Source organism: Homo sapiens, chromosome 10, assembly GCF_000001405.40.
Source record: "Homo sapiens chromosome 10, GRCh38.p14 Primary Assembly".
In the NCBI taxonomy this organism is placed as follows: Eukaryota; Metazoa; Chordata; class Mammalia; order Primates; family Hominidae; genus Homo; species Homo sapiens.
The window spans coordinates 59,838,498-59,857,668 of record NC_000010.11 but is presented as its reverse complement, the minus strand read 5'-3'; the positions used below and the strand labels follow the sequence as shown (position 1 = coordinate 59,857,668).

General features: G+C 39.6%; 1 protein-coding gene across 1 annotated transcript in view, besides 1 other annotated feature; it reads left to right on the top strand.

The window, feature by feature from the left end:
• CCDC6 (coiled-coil domain containing 6) overlaps positions 1–19,171 on the top strand; it is a 117,810-nt gene that overhangs the window by 48,888 nt on the left and 49,751 nt on the right. The window contains exon 2 of the mRNA NM_005436.5: positions 4,967–5,116. Within this exon, the coding sequence (NP_005427.2) occupies positions 4,967–5,116 (150 nt within the window). The remainder of the gene's footprint in view (positions 1–4,966; positions 5,117–19,171) is intronic.
• Positions 9,108–10,048: an enhancer, noted in NCBI's record as "OCT4-NANOG-H3K27ac-H3K4me1 hESC enhancer chr10:61607379-61608319 (GRCh37/hg19 assembly coordinates)". NCBI's record gives its function as "activates a minimal SCP1, AML or CMV promoter by ChIP-STARR-seq in naive H9 embryonic stem cells {active_cell/tissue: H9 hESC(naive)}" and the evidence as "EXISTENCE:reporter gene assay evidence [ECO:0000049][PMID:30033119]".

Sequence of the window (19,171 nt, the reverse complement as noted above, 5' to 3'; positions counted from 1 at the left end):
AAATGTGTTATCTTGGTAGGCACTTGAACTTTCTCCTGACCATATCCATAGGGCTGCTATCAAATAGATGTTTGTAATTTCTTGCTTTGGAGAACCGTTCTCTTTCTTATGCTTAATAGATTATGAATTGCACCACCCTACGTGATTTTGGTTTTGGCACTTGGATTTTCTCTTCAGTGGTTGAGTGCTATTGTGAAGGGTTTTAAAATTCTTTCTGTACTAACCCTTGATCTCCAAAACGCCATTGATAAAAGAACAGAAACACTATAAACAATCACATTAGAATCTCCTATCAAATTTGTGCTCAGTTCATGGTAGCAGTGGGTCAGAACAAACTGTGTTTTCCTTATCTGCAGAAAATTATGCTAATTTAATTTAGAGTGTGGTTGCCTAAATATGTGGTGACTCAGGATAAAATATTTTCTGTAATTTTTTTGGTGTTTATTTTTCCCACAGGACTTGGTAAATTTCTCCTGATCCTACTCTCCCTTTAATTTCCCTTTTTATTAGATTTTAGTAGGATGGGAAAAGAATGATGAAGAGACGCTTTGTGGTCTAGTCCTCACATTAACAGACAGTGATTACTGCTCGGTGAGGGGCAATGTTTTAAATTACACAAATAATTGATTATGATTATACCAAATTTCTAAATATAGCAACTAGAACCTGAATATGGAACAGGAAAATATCATAAATTTTTCTGTTTCCTCCAGATTTTCCCAGTCTACCGTACAAAAGGGAAAACAGTAGGAAAATGTTTCTTCCTTCAAAGAGTTCCTAATTTTTTTGTTCACATTTTCATTTGAGAATTTACAGAGCTATAGGTAAATGTTGCTTCACTTATTTTGCTTTGGAAATGGATTTTTAATTTTGAATTGGGATGTGTTTAGATATGCTGAGACTTGCAAGCATTTTAGGTAAAAAGGAAATATATTGATAAACCTGATAATGAGATTTCATGAGGTAGCCTGTTTTTTCTTCCCTCTGTGCACCTTCATGCCTTGTGAATGGTACCTGGGGCTTGCTTCTTTGCTTGTAGGCCACTGTCTACCTGGCTCCTTGCTGGCTGATTTTGGGGAAATACCTTGGAAAGGTAATTTGTTTTACAGCTTAAATAAAAAGTCTTGCCTTGGGATTAAGGGGGAATAAACAGGACTAAGACAGAGACTGAGATGATACTGCGTGTAATATGGGGAGAAATCTGCAGGGAGAAGTCAAATGGACACTTAATACTTTTTTTATGATGCATGGTTCATTCTCTGGTAATTAACTCTATGCATATTGTCAGGACACTGTATCCATTTAATTTTTTTTTTTTTTTTTACCTAAGGCTGTATTGGATATAGCATTTTGCCCTTTGTACTCGTTTATATGCTCATTCCTTAGATGATCTGCACCAACTGGAAAAAGAGGGAGCTGGGGTTTTACGTTTGGAGGACCTGGAAATCTTGTACTGATGTTTTCTCTGGGTGTTTAGATGCCATAAGAGGCAGAATAACACCCCCCAATTAGATCTAAGAACTGGCAAAATCTTTGCTAAAGGAGCCCTGTGATTAAAGCTGTGTTAGGCCATGTTAACCCTTTGTTAAGTTAGCCAGATTTTAACAGGCTGCACCAGAACAGTTTCTCATGTTCATTCAGAGGTCCTGAGAGTGGCATTTTCTATTAATGAGCTTCGCTTAGAAATAAGTAGCTATTCTAAACCAGTGAATAATTTTGTTTGCCAAAGCCTCGGCCTCCCAGGACCTGTAACACATCTTTGGAAGGCACATTTAGAGCAGGCCTAGCTCTCTTCATTTTTACATTTTGCTGCTGTCCTTGGGAAGAAATGCAAAGGAAACTGGTCCTCTGTGAATACAGTGTGTTGATTATGAGTCCTTTTTTAAAAATCAAGATATAATTCAATTCACATGCTGTAACATTCACCCTTTTAAAGTATATAGTTCTGTGGTTTTTAGTATATTGGGAAGGTTGTACAAAGTATTAGCCCTAATTCCAGAACATTTTCATCACCCCAAAAAGAATCCGTGTAGCCATGAGCAGTCATTCCCATCCCCTCCGCTTCAGCAACTAATCTACTTTCTTTTTGGGGTTTGTTTTTTTGAGACAGAGTCTCACTCTGTCACACAGCCTGGAGTGCAGTGGCACGATCTTGGCTCACTGCAATCTCCGCCTCCTGGGTTCAAGCAATTCTCTGGCTCAGCCTCCCGAGTAGCTGGGATTACAGGCGCTCACCACCATGCTCAGCTAATTTTTTTTATTTTAAGTAGAAATGGAGTTTCACCATCTTTGCCAGTCTAGTCTTGAACTCCTGACCTCGTGATCCACCCACCTTGGCCTCCCAAAGTGGTGGGATTACGGGCATGAGCCACTGCGCCTGGCCTAGAGCCACAATGTACTTTCTACCGAAAGTTCTTTTTTATGTTACGGTGAAATCTCCTGTCCCTATGACTTAGTAGCTAGATGAATTGGGGAGGGGTGGCTTCACAAATAAACTCTTAAGGTTGATTTTCAACTTCTCACAAGAATAATCTCTTAGTTTCTTATTTTCTATTTATCACTTCTAGGCCCCTGTGTAAAGGGAAAGGTGATCTGCCTAGTCTCTGAGTCCACTTCACTTTTACTGCTTATAATAAAATTTACCAGTTATCTAAAATACTAAATGTGTGTTAATGTGCAAGAAGTTGAGTCTGATCTGATAATGAAATGAGTTTATGGCAAACACCCTTTTGAATGCCAAGTCTAGAATCACCTGCAAGAGCACTACAGTTCCTCTCAGCCTTTCTGTTCTTTAACTTTTAGAATAGTCAGAATTCAAATCATATAGGACTTTGTCGGTCAAAACCAGAAAAACAAGTAGCTTGGATAGATGGCAGGCTTAGATATGTATGTGTCAAATATGTCTTAAATAAATACTTTGGATTCCTGCCCATGGCACTAGCGTGAAATCCTGAAGTTTGAGAGTTCGGAAGGCAAGTGGGGATTGATTTAAAGGGGGAGGAGAAGTATGAGTTCTCAGCAGTTTTCCTTGACTATAGTGGAAAGAGTAAGACATTGAGAAGCGTTAATGAAATAGGAGGTATGTAAGGGAACCACTGGGGGAACCTATGGACTGCTCACTGGGTGCCTTGGCTGGTAATACAGATTTATTAGCTGAAGGATTTTGTCTTTGTTGCTTAGCTCTCTTGGACTACCCCAGAATGGCTTTAAAAATGTGAGTACTGGACCTTCTCCCAAAGCCTCCACTGTTTGTGTTTGTGTAGCTCTGTTTTTCAGTCTGTGTACTATGTGTGGCTCTCTTTGTAGAATTGCTCAGCAAGCAGTATCAGAAGCTGGCATACCTCCTCTAGGGCCACAGTGATGGGGAGCAGGGAGGGTGGACTCCACAGAAACCGTGGATATTAGAGTGTGTGGATGTTGGGGAAGCTGGTGAGTATATACAGAAATCGAAACTGCCAGAGTTGGGATTGATTGTCGGAGCCTTTTACAGTAAGAGGTGGTAATTGTTTAATGTGGGTGCCCTTTCGTCTTCTGCCTGTCTGGTTCTCTTGGAATATTATAAATAACAGGTTCTGGAGGCCTGGAATTCATGTGGCTCTTCCTCCCTTGATTTGACAGATAAAACAAATGCATTATTTGGTATAAATCAAAGTGTTGTGGTTTAAAAAGTTATTTAAATAGAGTTGAGTTTGTTTGAAACATGGATGCCCTTTCCCAAAAGATTAATTTCCTTCAAAGATGGTTAGGCTTTTCCGTTTAGACAGAATAATAATAAGCCTAATCTATTAAAACATTTTTTTCAGGGAGAGAGGAGGGTATCTACAGAAGAATATTTTCATCTCCATTGAATAATGCCTTCAAAAAAGACTCCCTTCTCTTCTGTTTTTAAAATTCAATTCACTAATCTCTCTCGTTGACTTCATCTCCAAAAAATTCCCAATAGGGAAATAAAGTAAAAAATGAAGCCCCTCTCACCCACCTTTACCCTTCACCCCTAGATTTCCACTACCTCTTAATAACTAGTTTCCAGCCATTTGGTGCAATTTTTTTTTTCTAGTAATTATTCAGCTATTCAGTGAACACGTGTCCATGTACATTTGTAATGCCTTTTATTTTTTATTTTATTTATTATTTTGAGACAACATCTTACTCTGTCACCCAGGCTGGTGTGCAGTGGCATGATCTCGGCTCACTGCAACCTCTGTCTTCCGGGTTCAAGTGATCCTCTTGCCTTAGCCTCCCGAATAGCTGGAACCACAGGCATGTGCCACCATGCCTGACTAATTTTTTGTATTTTTTATAGAGACAGGGTTTTGCCATGCTGCCCAGGCTGGTCTCAACTCTTGAGATCAAAGTGATCCACCCACCTCTGCCTCCCAGAGTGCTAGGATTACATGTGTAAGTCACTGCACCTGGCCCATAATGCCTTTTTAATGGCATATCCAAACCTATCCAAACCTTTTAAGTGACATCATAAGGAGGTGATATAATTCTACTTTTAAGTGAGTTGAGCTCTGCTCCAGTAAAAAATGTTGCCCAGATATTTAATTGTAAACCATGGAGATGTAGCAACCTGTGAGAGTTATCATGAATTGATGTACCATAGCACAGGACTGGACCCGTCTGCTACATTAGAAGGATCTTTCTGTATTCTGGTTATTGATTTGGGACAGTTTCATAAAAACTGCAATGTGATCTTGGCTAATTTCTTTGAAATATCACTTTAAGAATAAGGACCACACATAGTAAAGGGGGGCTCTTTGGCATAATAGTGATATTCATTTCTGTAGACTCTGCTGAATTCCTCTGTTTTGCATTTCTTGGGTGTGTTGGTTCACAGCTAAAAATAGAGCTCTATTTAAAATGGGTACCCTTTCTGGAAATAAGAACTATATTTCAATTAGTAAATTTCCTGTTTCCTTAACATGTGTTTTGTTTTGTTCTTTCCTTTTTTTTTTTTAAACAGCAAGCCAGGGCTGAGCAGGAAGAAGAATTCATTAGTAACACTTTATTCAAGAAAATTCAGGCTTTGCAGAAGGAGAAAGAAACCCTTGCTGTAAATTATGAGAAAGAAGAAGAATTCCTCACTAATGAGCTCTCCAGAAAATTGATGCAGGTAAATTATCTTTTCTACTCCCTCATCTTCCCTGCCTATTTTCCTTTCTAGGAGAAAATGACTTTGATATAGCACTTTGCTTGTAACATTTGCTGATGAGGTTGTAGCTTAAGTTCTTTGGAGATTCAAAATACCAGGTAAGGGTGGCAGCGGTGTAATAGTCAAGACTGTGGTTTTCTAGCTTATCTGCATATGTTAGGTAAGCTATTTTGTACCCCGAGCATTTCCAAAAAATTGCTGATGAGCACAAGATCTTGGCATGAGATGTTGAATGTAGCATTTTGGAAGTATGGGGACTAATGCCAAATGTGAAATTTTTCTCCTTTTATGTTGAGCCTGTAATAAGTACGTAAACTTTTTGGCAGTCATAGGTGGGTCTTTTGCACTAAAATATGAGGATATGAAGTGAAACATCTTTAGGAAGTAGAAAGGTATCCATGATAGTTAAAACTACCCACAATCAACCGTGTTCAAATGGGTGAGTAATATGTTACTGAACAAATATCAGACTGCTATTAAAACTCAACGTTGATCACGAGTAATATATAGAAGATGCCACACAAAACATATAGGAAGGTTTGATTTCTCTACTTCAGAGGCTCATTCTCTCCCCCTCCTTTTTTTTCCCCCTTTCAAAGCTTACTGGTAAAGTACAAGGTAAAATTTGCTTAGGGGCAATAGTTTGTGGGTTAGTATGAACTTAAAAATAAGTGGGATATTGAGTTTTCATTATTTAACATAGCTTGTCCAAAATAGTGAGCAGGTATAAAATTATCAACATTATTACCATTTTGTCTTTAGATGTCTGTGAAACACCCCCATATGTTTTAACATCATCAATAACAATTTCATTAATTTGCTTGAAGTATATATATTAGTGAGGTTGTAATAAGAAGTTATTCGAGGCTTTTTAAAAAATCTTCCTAAGTTCTTTTCTTACCTCCCCACATAGATGATCCTGTAAGAGGATACTGGAAACTCTGATGTAGCAACTTTAATGTTAAGACCATAACATGTTCCAGGCAGCTTTTACCCCTGTCTTTCTATTAGTCTCATTTTTCTACCTAATTACTGAATAAAGACACTGTTAATCTTGCACAAAATTTGATTTATATGGTAGTTACTGAAATGTGAAGAATAGGTACCCAGGCATTACTGTCTAGCAGAGATTTATAGCAAAATTTTTGTACTGAAACTTTTTGTTTATTCATTTGCATTGTGATTTAGAGAAAAATGGATGGAGAAGATTAGTTTGACCTTTTAGTATGTCTCACTGGGGCAGCATTAAATGACTTATTTTACCTAGTGCTTCTAGAATCATGGGGATGTAATTATGGTTTGTTTTTCCTAGGTGTATGTGTAATCAGGTGCCATAATTTTTGGCACTGCAAGAAACCTTTTTTTTTTTTTTTTTTTTTTTTCAATTTACATGGTTGTTTTTTGGAGTCTTTAACCAAAGTACATTATAGGACAGTCAAGACCTCGCCAGATCATGTTCCTTTTCTCTATGTATCTCCAGTATGAGTGATTGTATAGTCTGTAATTGGCCTCTCGTTCACTTATGTAACCTACCTACCTTTTAAGGATATTGATGTTCCTTAAAATAAGATACTAAAAAAGAATGAAAACATAAGAACATAAGAATGAAAACATAAAAAAGAATGAAAACATAAGCACATAATGCAACAGCAAAGGAAGTTATTTATAGTTGTGTATACTTGGTGTAAGAAGGCTTGAACTTAAAATTGAAGCTCCAAGCATCCTCTAAATAATGCTATGACATAGAAATGTAGGGATTGTGTTTTCATAATTCTTATATCTAAAACAGTAGTTCTTGGTCAAGAGAAAAAAAAATCATAGACTAAAAACTTGGAAAAATTTTTCAGTGGATAGTGGATCTTTCTAAAGGGATTGAATAGTATATAAACTGAACAAAATAAACTGTTATTTCCAAAAGTGGTATACAATGTGTAGCCCTAGCCTTCACGCGGGCATGTCTTATGTTTGCCCTCAGCCAAAAGAAAGGGCGTAGTATGAAGGTGTGATTCTGTGAAAACATTGGGGTTCTCTAGATGGGTCTGTAGCTTGTTGGTGATTCAACTTGTAGAATCTGGACAGATGGATGGTTAGCATGTCCCTGAGACAATCTGTCATGCATCCCAGCTTGGTTTTTAGGCTTTTTATTTTAATGTGGTAAATTTTACGTAACATAAAATTTACCATTTTAGCCATTTTTGAGTGTACAATTTGGTGGCGTTAAGCATTTTCAGCTTGTTGTGCAGCCGTCAGCACTGTCCATCTCCAGAACCTTTTCAAACTGAAACTCTGTGCCCATTAAACAATAATGCCCATTCTCTTCCCCTCGTCTTTAGGTGTTTGAAAGGGATGGATAGCAGGTAGTTTTAGGTTCAGGTCTCTGGCAAGTTCTGAAGCTGTTGCCATTCTGAGGCATAACAGGAGATCTGTTGCTTTAGACACCAGGTGTCACAACATGTCTATTTTTTGATAGTGCCTAAGAACCTGACCTCTATTGTTGTCCAGTTCAGGGATATCATAGCTGCAGCAGGGGAAGGGCTGTTCAGCCTATGATACTCATCCCTCAGGCTCCCAATATGTATTTCCTTAATAGGTTCAACCAGTCTTTTGTTGAATGCCCACATTTTGTGCCACCCAGCATGGAAATACTGTTTTCCATCTGGAAGATTCTTGGAGTAATTGATACCAATAGACTTTTTCAACTATGTAATTATTTTAATATGGCTTTCTAGGATGTTTGCTTCTGCACAGGACCTTGCTAAAAAAAAGCCTGCTAAGAGAAATCATGCTACAAGTGTCACTCACAGACAAATGGGTGCATTGACCTGTTCACTGTGAAAGTGTTCAGCATTTTTCACCCAAAGGCCACTGAGAGGCTATATACAGATCAATTTTTGTTTTGTCAGAGTGCTTTGGCTGTTATTTCTGATAGTGATTGGACAATGCTTTTATGTGCATTTCAAAGGGATTTTTTGATCCTGAGAACAAAATGAGACTTGCTATAGAAGAGACGTGTCCCTTCCTGTCTGCTATGGCCAAGTTGGGTATCCAATACCTTTAAAAAATAGAATCAAGTTTGCTTAAGATACATGAGAGTAAATCCCTTTGCCCTTTAAAAGATCCAGTTTGGGAGATGGCTTAAACACCTCCATATGTGTTCATCCTCACCAACAGGAAAACACACACAAAAGGGAGCATGCAGCTCTTCTCCCTTGCTTTTGTGTCTATCCAGTACAGACACAAAATTGTATCTTTATCTCGTGAGAACTCTTGACTGAGAAGTCTACATCTTTCTGAGCCCAGGCCATGGGATTCACTACCTGATTGGTGAGACATTGTTCCAAAAAGAACTCTCTTACTTTTGGTAAGTTCAACATGAACCTACATTAGAGCTAAATTCTACTCTTGAATGCCTTGAAGAGAGGTTGTGCTTTAATCGTTATTTGTAATTAAAACCTATAAGAAGTGTTTGTGAGCAAAATTATCAGAATTTTATATACAGGCTGAGCGTGGTGGCTCACGCCTGTAATCTCAGCACTTTGGGAGGCCGAGGCAGGTGGATCACTTTGATGCCAGGAGTTCAAGACCAGCCTGGCCAACATGGCGAGACCCCATTTCTACTAAAAATACAAAAAATGAGTTGGGTGTGGTGGCACACGCCTGTAATCTCAGCTACTCAGGAGGCTGAGGCAGGATAATTGCTTGAACCTGGGAGGCAGAGGTTGCAGTGAGCCGAGATCACGCTGCTGCTCTCCAGCCTGGGGGATAGAGTGAGACTCTGTCTCAAAGAAAGAATTTATTATACAGTAAGTTCTCACTTAATGTTGCCGATAAGTTCTTAGAAACTGTGTCTTTAAGTGAAATGACATATAATGAATCTTATTTGTTTATTTTTGAGACTGTCACCTAGGCTGGAGTGCAATGGTGCGATCTCAGTTCACCTTCCAGGTAGCTGGGATTACAGGCACCCACCACCATGCCCAGCTAATTTTTGTATTTTTGTAGAGACAGGGTTTCACCACATTGGCCAGGCTGGTCTTGAACTCCTGACCTCAAGTGATCTGCATGCCTTGGCATCCCAAAGTGCTGGGATTATAGGTGTGAGCTACTGCACCTGGCCAATGAATCTAATTTTACCAGAGACTAATTGATACAAACAAGAGTTAAGTTCCTACTGCATATTTCTGGTCACGAAAACATCACCAAACTTCCAAATAAAGACCCCAAACACTTTAAATGTTACACATTAAAATAAACTGAGCTATGTATACTTTAAAAGAGATTAGTTAAGAACAAGTAAGAAAATTACTTACCCAGTGATTCCAGTTTAGGGTCATAGGTGGCCAGAACCTGTCTTGGCAGTTCTGGGTAGCTTAGGTTACAAGGCGGAAATCTGCCCTGGGCAGGATCTATTCTATCGCAGGGCACACGGGCACACTCACTCACACTGGCTGAGACTGGAACCATTTAAACAATGCTAGTTAACATGTTGTGCACATCTTTGGGATGTGGGAGGGCGCTGGAGTACCTGGAGAAAACCCGCATAGACGTGGGGAGAACACAGGAAATCCACACAGACAGTGGCCCCAGTGGGGGAATCAACTCCACTCCCTATTAACGTTTTAGTGAAATGACATTATTTGAGGACCTGCTGTATAACATGTACATTAGGGGTAAAAAAAAAAAAAAAAAAAAAAAAGTCTAAAAGGCTATTCTCCAGAATGTTATAGAGTAATTATACTTGGGTGCTGAACTTATAGGTTATGTTATTTTCTTTGTGCCCTAGTCCTTCTAATTCTGAAACAGCAACATGATACTTTTGTAACTAGAAAACATCTTATTTCTTGAAAAGGAAATTTAAAAATTGTGATGCCTGGTTTGTCCTTACCTTTTGAAACCACCTCCTTCTGTTTCTTTGACTTAGAGAGCTCAGAGTCCTGCTATGCTAGTAGCATCTCTTTGTCATGGGCAGCAGTGCACTGAACCCCCCTGCAGAGTCAGGCTCATTTGCAAGTGACAGGAGATTCTTGACTGCCCACATCATTAAGAACTAGTATAATCAGAATGCTCTAATGATTAGCCTAACTGTCTTGTCAGTCTTTGTATGATTCACTCCACTAGTCCTCTATTGTAAAACTTCTTTTCATTTAAAAAAAAATTTCTAGGCCTGGCGCGGTGGCTCCTGCCTGTAATCCCAACACTTTGGGAGGCCGAGGCGGGCGGATCACGAGGTCAGGAGATCAAGACCATCCTGGCTAACATAGTGAAACCCTGTCTCTACTAAAAATACAAAAAAATCAGCCCGGCGTGGTGGCAGGCACCTGTAGTCCCAGCTACTTGGGAGCCTGAGGCAGGAGAATGGCGTGAACCCAGGAGGCGGACCTTGTGGTGAGCCGAGATAGCGCCACTGCACTCCATCCTGGGAGACAGAGCGAGACTCCGTCTCAAAAAAAAAAAAATTTTCTAATTCCCCTGGCAAACTCTTAACCACCAATCACAAATGCCTACTGGAAGACTTATCAATTATCTCAGACACTGAGATTGATCATGGTTTTAGCAATTGTGGATTTTCCCACCTGCTTTTATGCAGGGCCAAAGCATCAACTTGGCTTTCTGCTCTTTGGGAGCACACTCAGCTTGTTCTGGATTGTCTACACTTTTCTCAACAAATACCACTACCAAAAGTTAATAAACTGTTTTTTTAACCATAGATTACAACTGGGGTAGGAAGAGTACTGCATATTACATATATCTTAATCTTTTCAATCTAATCCAGCTTGCAAATTTCAGACCTTAAAATAATCAATAGATTTGTAGTACGGTACTTTCAATTCACATTTGAAATAGGATCTGATTCTGAGAAAATAATGCTGCTCTAACTATAATAAAAATTATTGTAGCCATATCCTAATAGGGGGCACATTGATGGTTTGAAATACTTAAGAAGAAAAGTCCTGGATCTCTTATTAAGATGATACGGCTTATTTTTATTATTATTGACTTGGCTCCTGAGGTAAGAATGCTTCCTGGAACTAAAATAGTTGGAGTTTTCCTAGCATCTATGGAAAGATGAGAGAGGACAGGAAGGAAGTTGTGGGCAAAACTGCTGAAACTACCTCTGCCAAATGATTTATAGCTGAGCAGTTCAGAAGGATATCATGCAACAGAATTATTCTTCTATCTCATTTACACAGAAATAAAACTGGGAAGAAGAATTTCTAGGTCTCCAGATCTGCCTGTTCATCTGGACAAAGGGCTTAGCACTTCATTTGCCTTCTTTCACTTGTCCTGTCAATTCTGGAGAAGTGGTTTCTCCTAATACCATTTTACTGGATTCTTTTTTTTCTAGAGTGTATGCTTACTTAACCCCTGAAAGACTCTTTTTCTGAGTAGCATGACATTTCTGCAGGCAAAGGAAGTGAGTATAGACTCCCAATTCTCTTCTTTTCCAGGATGTACACTAGAATCTGAAGCATCCTCTTCACCCTCGCTCCCCTTCAAGTTTCCGAAGCCACTAAGTTGGCAATGAAATTATTTTGTTTATGCAAGGAGCAAAATCACATGTCAAGCTGATAAATAATGTATGAAATATCATTTAGTTAATTTCAAAGGCGCCAAGACTATGACACCATTGCATCCATTCAGATGAAACCTTGGTTCTCCCTGTGTTAGGGGAGAGATCTAAATGAAGTATGTCCTTTATATTTAGATGACTAGATCTGTGGCCCTCCTGGCTTGTTTTTCAGGGCCCTTAATACTGATCAGAGAAATTTGCTATCACAAAATAGCTTTCAAAACAGAACAGAGCTTTTTCTTATTGTTTTCATTCCAAATTACCTGAACCTCAGCTTTGTCTGATCTTTTCAGGAGCAAGAGGTTCACACATTGCATTCACAGTATGCCTACAAAGAGCTACTGAGTTGTTTTTAATGCATTTTATGCTACAGCCACCAGTGGCCAAATTATAAGCCAGAATTCTGTTAGTAGCATGGCAAAAATCTCTCATTGCAATGTAATTTGTTATGAGTAGATAATACAATAAAACTGAAGTAGTTCTTCAGTGTTGAAATTACTGAGTTTCTTTTAAAGTGTGTGTGCACATGTGCATGTACTAAGGTTATGGCTAGATGTGATGTGCTAACATCCCAAAAAAAAAAAAAAAAAAAAAAACCCATAGGGGCAAAAGTAAGGGCTCAGAAGCTTCCTATCCTGACTTTTTTGACATAAAATGTGAGAAAAAGTAGATAGAGGGGAAAAACAAAGGTAGAAGAAAAGAAAGATAAAAATAATTAGGTGAAGCTGGAGTTAAACTTGCTTTATTTACCAAAGTAGATGGGAGAAATATTGTTATTTCTAGTTGGAAAGGTAAATCTTGTCTATTGAAGGATACTAGGCCCCACTATCGATGGACCCTAGCTATCACTAGGAACAGTTTTAAAATAACTTTAAAACTTTGTAGTTCTAAATGTTACAATGTTTTGCATTTCATTTTTAAACAATTTACAGTCAGCCCAGTCAGTAATTACTTTAAAATACGGAGTTATATCCTGCTGCTGTCCTCACCTTCCTATTTCCTCCACTCATAAACTTGGTAAGAAAGATGAGACCTTTCATTGTAATTTTCAATAATGCCTCAGCTTAGAATGAATTCTTTGGGCTAAACACTCTTTCTTCCTCAGGAGAAAATGCCAGTTTTTACAAAATGGATTTTTCAATATGCCAGAGCCTAAAGGATTTTCTCTCTCTCTCTCTCTTTTTTTTTTTTTTTTTGGAGATAGTCTCTGTTGCCCAGGCTGGCATGATCTTGGCTCACTGCAACCTCCGTCTCTTGGGCTCAAGTGATTCAAGTGATTCTCATGCCTCAGCCTCCTGAGTAACTGGGCTAATTTTAACTAGCCCAGCTAATTTTTGTATTTTTTTTTTTTTTTAAGTAGAGACAGGGTTTTACCATGTTGGCCAGGCCGGTCTTGGATTCCTGACCACAAGTGATCTGCCTGCCTAAGCCTCCCAAAGTGCTGGATTACAGGCATGAGCCACCGTGCCCTGCAAGGACTTTAAAAATCTTTTCCATGGAGCTTTTTTTTTTTTTTAATATTCCTCCTAACCAGATTTTTTTTAAAGATGTTAATGCTTTTAGTGGCATCATGCTCCTGGAAATCCAGGAAACTCAAACTTAACCCTTTAGATATATACCCAAGTAGATAGGAAGTCTGATATTATCCTGAAGCCATCTGCTCAGAAGTGAGGGCCTGACTCTGGTCCTCAGTGTTGCTAACAAGGAATCAAAATAACAAATAACTAATTTCTGGAAGAACGTAGCTATTTTTTCTCTTTATAAAAGTTATATTGTGGCTTTTCCTGTAGAAAATAGCAGATTAGATCACTCAGACATACCTCACTGAAGATAAACAAAAGCTTAACAAAATCCTTCTTTGTTAAATAATTAACATGATGGTGAAGAACTGTTGGGCAGAGATCTGAAGGAAGGTGGGAACGAAGCACCCAAGGCTGCTTTTATTCAGAGGGCACTTGGAATTCATCCAGAAAAACACCTGAGATAGTAAATTGTGGTTTTGGTCGTTGTATGGAGCTGGGGCTGCAGAAGTCAGTTGATTGCTTTTGGTCAAAGTTTAGAGAGAGTGATCAGTCAACCCTACCTCAAGCTGGAATCATGAAGGGCTGCATGCTTAGACTAAGAGTGAACTAGTTTTGCATCAGCTGGGTAAATGAGAGACACAAGGCTTTGATTTTGGATTAAGGTAAACCCAGACTTATGGTGCTTAGCCAAAGGAGATGGAATTTTCTGGAGCAAGTTACTATCATCCTAGGCTACAAGCTTCTCCTGCTGATAAATTTTCAAATACAATATTCAGCCCACAGTTAAAGATCCATGCACATGAAGATATGAGATTCCATGAATGTAAGTGACTAGAAATAAAAGAAATGGACTTCGCAGATTCTTCAAATATTGGAATTACCGGGCGTATACTATAAAGCAACCATGCTTACTATACTCAGAGAAGTAAAAGCCAACCTTGAAATCTTTGGCAGGAAACTGGAAACATATCACTTTTCTTGTAGACATTCAAATGTTAAGTGAAAAACTAATGAATAACTATAGGGCAATACGTTTGAAATTTATATGATGTGGACAAATTCTTAGAAAAACGTAACTTTCTCCAGCTGACTGAGGAAGAAAAAGAAAACTGTCTTCTGTCCCGTAAAGAAATTGAATTAGAGATCAACAGCCTTCATAAACAATGAATTCCAGGTCCAAATGGTTTCATTGAGAGTTGTACCAAACATTCAAGGATAAAGTAATTTGTCTTCTGGCCGGGCGCGTTGGCTCACGCCTGTAATCCCAACACTTTCGGAGGCTGAGGCGGGCAGATCACGAGGTCAGGAGATCGAGACCATCCTGGCTAACACGGTGAAACCCCATCTCTACTAAAAATACAAAAAAAGGCCGGGTGTGGTGGCTCACGCTTGTAATTCCAGCACTTTGGGAGGCCGAGGCAGGTGGATCACGAAGTCGGGAGATCGAGACCATCCTGGCTAACACGGTGAAACCCCGTCTCTACTAAAAATACAAGCAATTAGCCGGGGGCGGTGGCAGGTGCCTGTAGTCCCAGCTACTCGGGAGGTTGAGGCAGGAGAATAGCGTGAACCTGGGAGGCGGAGCTTGCTGTGAGCTGAGATTGCGCCACTGCACTCCAGCCTGGGTGACAGAGCAAAACTCTGTCTCAAAAAAAAAAAAAAAAAAAAATTGTCTTCCATAAATTCTAAAGGGAAAAAAATGGGTCCCCAACATATTTTAAGGGTAACATAACCTTCAAAGCTCAAACTTAAGTGTAGTTCAGAAAAGGCAAATTATACTACAGCCTCAATCATGAGCAAAAATCCTACACAAAATATAAGTAAATGAAGTCAGCAATATATTAAAAGGACAATGCACCATGACCATGCTGGGTTTATACAAGAAATGCAAGTTTAGTTTACCAGTAGAAAATCAGTAAGTGTAATTTGCCACATTCACAGAATAAAAAGAAAAAGTCATGATCATGTTAATAGATGGAGAGAAAGGATTTGATAAAGTGTAACAATTCATGATAAAAATTAGTGAACTAAGAATAGAACTGAAACCTGACTTTTTAAAAAAGTGTTTACATAGGCCAGGCACGGTGGCTCACACCTGTAATCCTAGCACTTTGGGAGGCCGAGATGGGCAGATCATTTGAGGTCAGGAGTTCAAGACTAGCCTGACCAGCATGGTAAAACCCCATCTCTACTAAAAGTACCAAAAATAAGTTAGTGGGGTGTGATGGTGCACGCCTGTAGTCCCAGCTACTCGGGATGCTGAGGCAGGAGAATCAGTTGAACCAGGAGGCAGAGGTTGCATTGAGCCAAGATCGTACCACTGCACTCTAGCCTGGGCAACAGAGGGAGACTCCATCTCAAACATAAATAAAGTGTTTACAAAAAGGCTGCCCAAACCATTGTGTTTGATTGTGAAAAGTTAACTTTCCCTTTAAAATCAAGAACAAGACATGGGGTCGGGCGCGGTGGCTCACACCTGTAATCCTGCACTTTGGGAGGCTGAGGCTGGCGGATCATGAGGTCAGGAGATCGAGACCGTCCTGGCTAACGTGGTGAAACCCCATCTCTACTAAAATTACAAAAAATTAGCCGGGCGTGGTTGTAGGCGCCCGTAGTCCCAGCTACTCGGGAGGCTGAGGCAGGAGAATGGCCTGAACCCAGGAGGCAGAGCTTGCAGTGAGCCGAGATCACGCCAACGCACTCCAGCCTGGGCGACAGAGTGACTCCGTCTCAAAAAAAAAAAACAAACAAAAAAAACAAGACACGGATGCCTGCTGCATTTACCTATATTGATTGTTGTCGTGGATTTCTAGCCAGTGCAGAAAGGCAAGAAAAAGATGTAAGGATTGAAAGGAGGAACTAATACTGCCATTTACTTATTATTGTGTAAGTGGAAAACTTTTAAATCTTAAGAATCTACAGGTAAGTGATTAGAATTCTGTTTTCTCATATGAAAAATTGTATTTCTGTGTACCAGCAATAAGAAGTTAAATGTGAAAATATGAAAGCATCAAAAACCAAGAGAAGGAATTAAGTGCCATGGAAAGATATAGAACACTGTAAAGGGCATAGGGACAGTTGAAGTTCTAAGTAAGTTCAAGTCATTGAGGTAATACTTAAGCAAAATCTGGGAGAAGAAGCTAGCCAAATAGATTTTTGTGGGAAGAGTATTGTAGGCAGAAGGAATAGGAAAGTGCTAAGGCCTTGAAGTAAGATTGTGCCTGCCATGTTGGAGAAGCAGCAGACAGACTGGTGTGGTTAGATTGACGTCATGGGGAGAGAAGAGTGATAGATGAAATTGGGAGGTAATGGGTCTGGAGGCTTGATATGATAGAGGTTTGGGAGCCACTGTCTGCACTTTGGCTTTTATTCTGCATGGGAGGAGCCACCACAGGGTTTTGAGCAGAGTAGCAAAATGATCCTACATAGCTCTTAAAATGATTGCTTTGGTTGCTGTGTCATGAAGAGATTATGGATTGGGGGCCAAGGTGGGAGCAATGCATATTAGAAGGATATTCTGTAATACATGCCAAGAGATGGAGTGGATTATTCAGGAAGTAGTACTGAAGATGGTAAACTTTGGATTCTGGGTACATTTTGAAGAAATAACCTCATAGGATTTGTGGATGGATTAGAAGTGGTGTAGAAAAAAAGGATCAAGAAAGACTTAGGGGTTTGAGTCTTAATGACTGGAAGAATAGTTACCATCATTTAAGATGGAAAAGACAGCAAGTGGAGTATGTTTGGAGTAAGAAGGTCAGAAGTTCAATTGCAATGTCTGGGCTTCCATATGGAGAGAACAGACAAGGCAGTGGGACAGAGGTTCTGACTCTCAACAGAGAAGTCTGGGCTAGAGATATAAATTTGGGAGTGTTTTCTTTAGAAATTATTTATTCCCATGGAAATTAATGCTGTTACTCAGGAGGTGTGCCCAGAGGAGAGGACCAGAGACATATCATAAGGAAAACGCAAGGATGAACCACAGAATGGGAGAAGAGATATGCACCATATGTAATGACAAAGAACTATAAATCAGTAAGAAAGCAAACAACCCAGAGGAAAAATGGCAAATGATTTAAACAGACTACTAATAAATTCTTATGTACTGCAGATAGAAAATTGAAATCATTACACGCATTTGAAAACAATTTGGTAGTACCTAATTAAGTTGGAAATACTTATTCTCTATGACCCAGTGGTTTCTCTCCTGGGTATATATCATATTACATGTACCTGTGTACCAGATATGTAGAAGAATGTTCTTTGTGCCATTGATCATGATAAAAAACTAGAAATGGCCAGGCATGGTGGCTCATGCCTGTAATCCCAGCACTTTGGGAGGCCGAGGTGGGGGGATCACGAGGTCAGGAGATTGAGACCAGCCTGGCCAACATGGTGAAACCCCGTGTCTACTAAAAATAGAAAAATTAGCTGGGTGTGGTGGCACATGCCTGTAATTCCAGCTACTCGGGAGGCTGAGGCAGGAGAATCAGTTGAACCAGGGAGTCGGAGGTTGTAGTGAGCCAAGATCACGCCACTATACTACAGCCTGGCGACAGAGTGAGACTCTGTCTCAAAATAAATAAATGAAAAGAAATGACCCAAATGCCTGTCATCCGTCGAGAGGATAGACTGTGGTATAAATAGCTGGATACTGTGAAGCAATGAAAATACAAACCACAATGAGTAACAAGTTCATTTAGCAGAAGAAGCTGGATATGAAAGAATGCAAAACCTAGCAAGACCAATGTTTGGAAGTAAATGAATACATAGGTTGTTTAAAAAAACAACTTTAGGAAAAATGTAAGGAAGTAAATACCATAAGAATTAGGATATTGATTATGTCTAGGAGTTGGAGAGGGGCTATAAACAGGAAGAGAAACAGGGGCTTTGGGGCAGACCATGATATATGGGTAATGTCCTAGATCTTGATTAATCCACCCCACCCCCAACCGTTGTTTTGCTTATCCTCAGGCTTAATCTAGAGCAAACAGTCCATATGAAGTGAGGACGTTATCATTTATTCAATCAGTATTTGCATTCACAATGTATTTTCTATGTTTTGGAGTAGGATCAAGGAAATCCTAGTCACTGCCCTTCTTAGAGCTTTCAATCCTGTAAAGAGTGATTGAGAATGTACCCAGGTGTTCTAGGATGGCAGCACACATCAGAGATGAGGGCAAAGGCTTTGAAGCCAAGGACCTCAGTTTGAACCCTGGATTTACCCTTTACGTGTGAAATTTCAGGCAGATCACCTAATTCCTTTAAGCTGTGATTTCACTCTTTGCAAAATGCAGATAACAGTTTCTACTGTAGAGTTATGAAGATTCAACCATCAAGTGTGTTCGTGTATATAAAGTGCTTGAGACGTAGTAATCGCCCTGAAGCATTAGCTGCCTTTAGAAGTAGCTGATGGAAAAGATACAGAAACACATCATGAAATGGACATCAAAATGCACTTGAATGACAATGTGCTTCTCACCCCTTAAAGGAGGGTGAGTGCACATTATGCTGAGGGCCTGTGGGAAAGCATTGGGGAAGTCTTTTATGCTATCCCCTAGTCTTGGTAAATTGAGGGGAGGGATTCAGACCCTATAGGCAGAGGCACAGCATGAGTGGGGCATGTGGGCAGAGTGAGTGGCATGGTTTCTGTAAGAGTGATCTGGCATGACTAGCAAGTATTGTGATCTAGAAGCCCCGGACCAGTATGGTCACCAAAAGTGTTTGGTTGGCATGATGGGATTTTCTTTTCAAGAGTCAGAAAAGGACATGAGCTTTTCCTTTAACCACAATAGCTACCACTCCCTGGCTTACACCCATCCATTCTTTGTTTGCTGCATGCATGAACCCTGAAGGCATTTATGCTTGCAAACCTTGGACTGTCACATCAACTGAGTAGTGTGAAAATAGTATGAGGAAGGC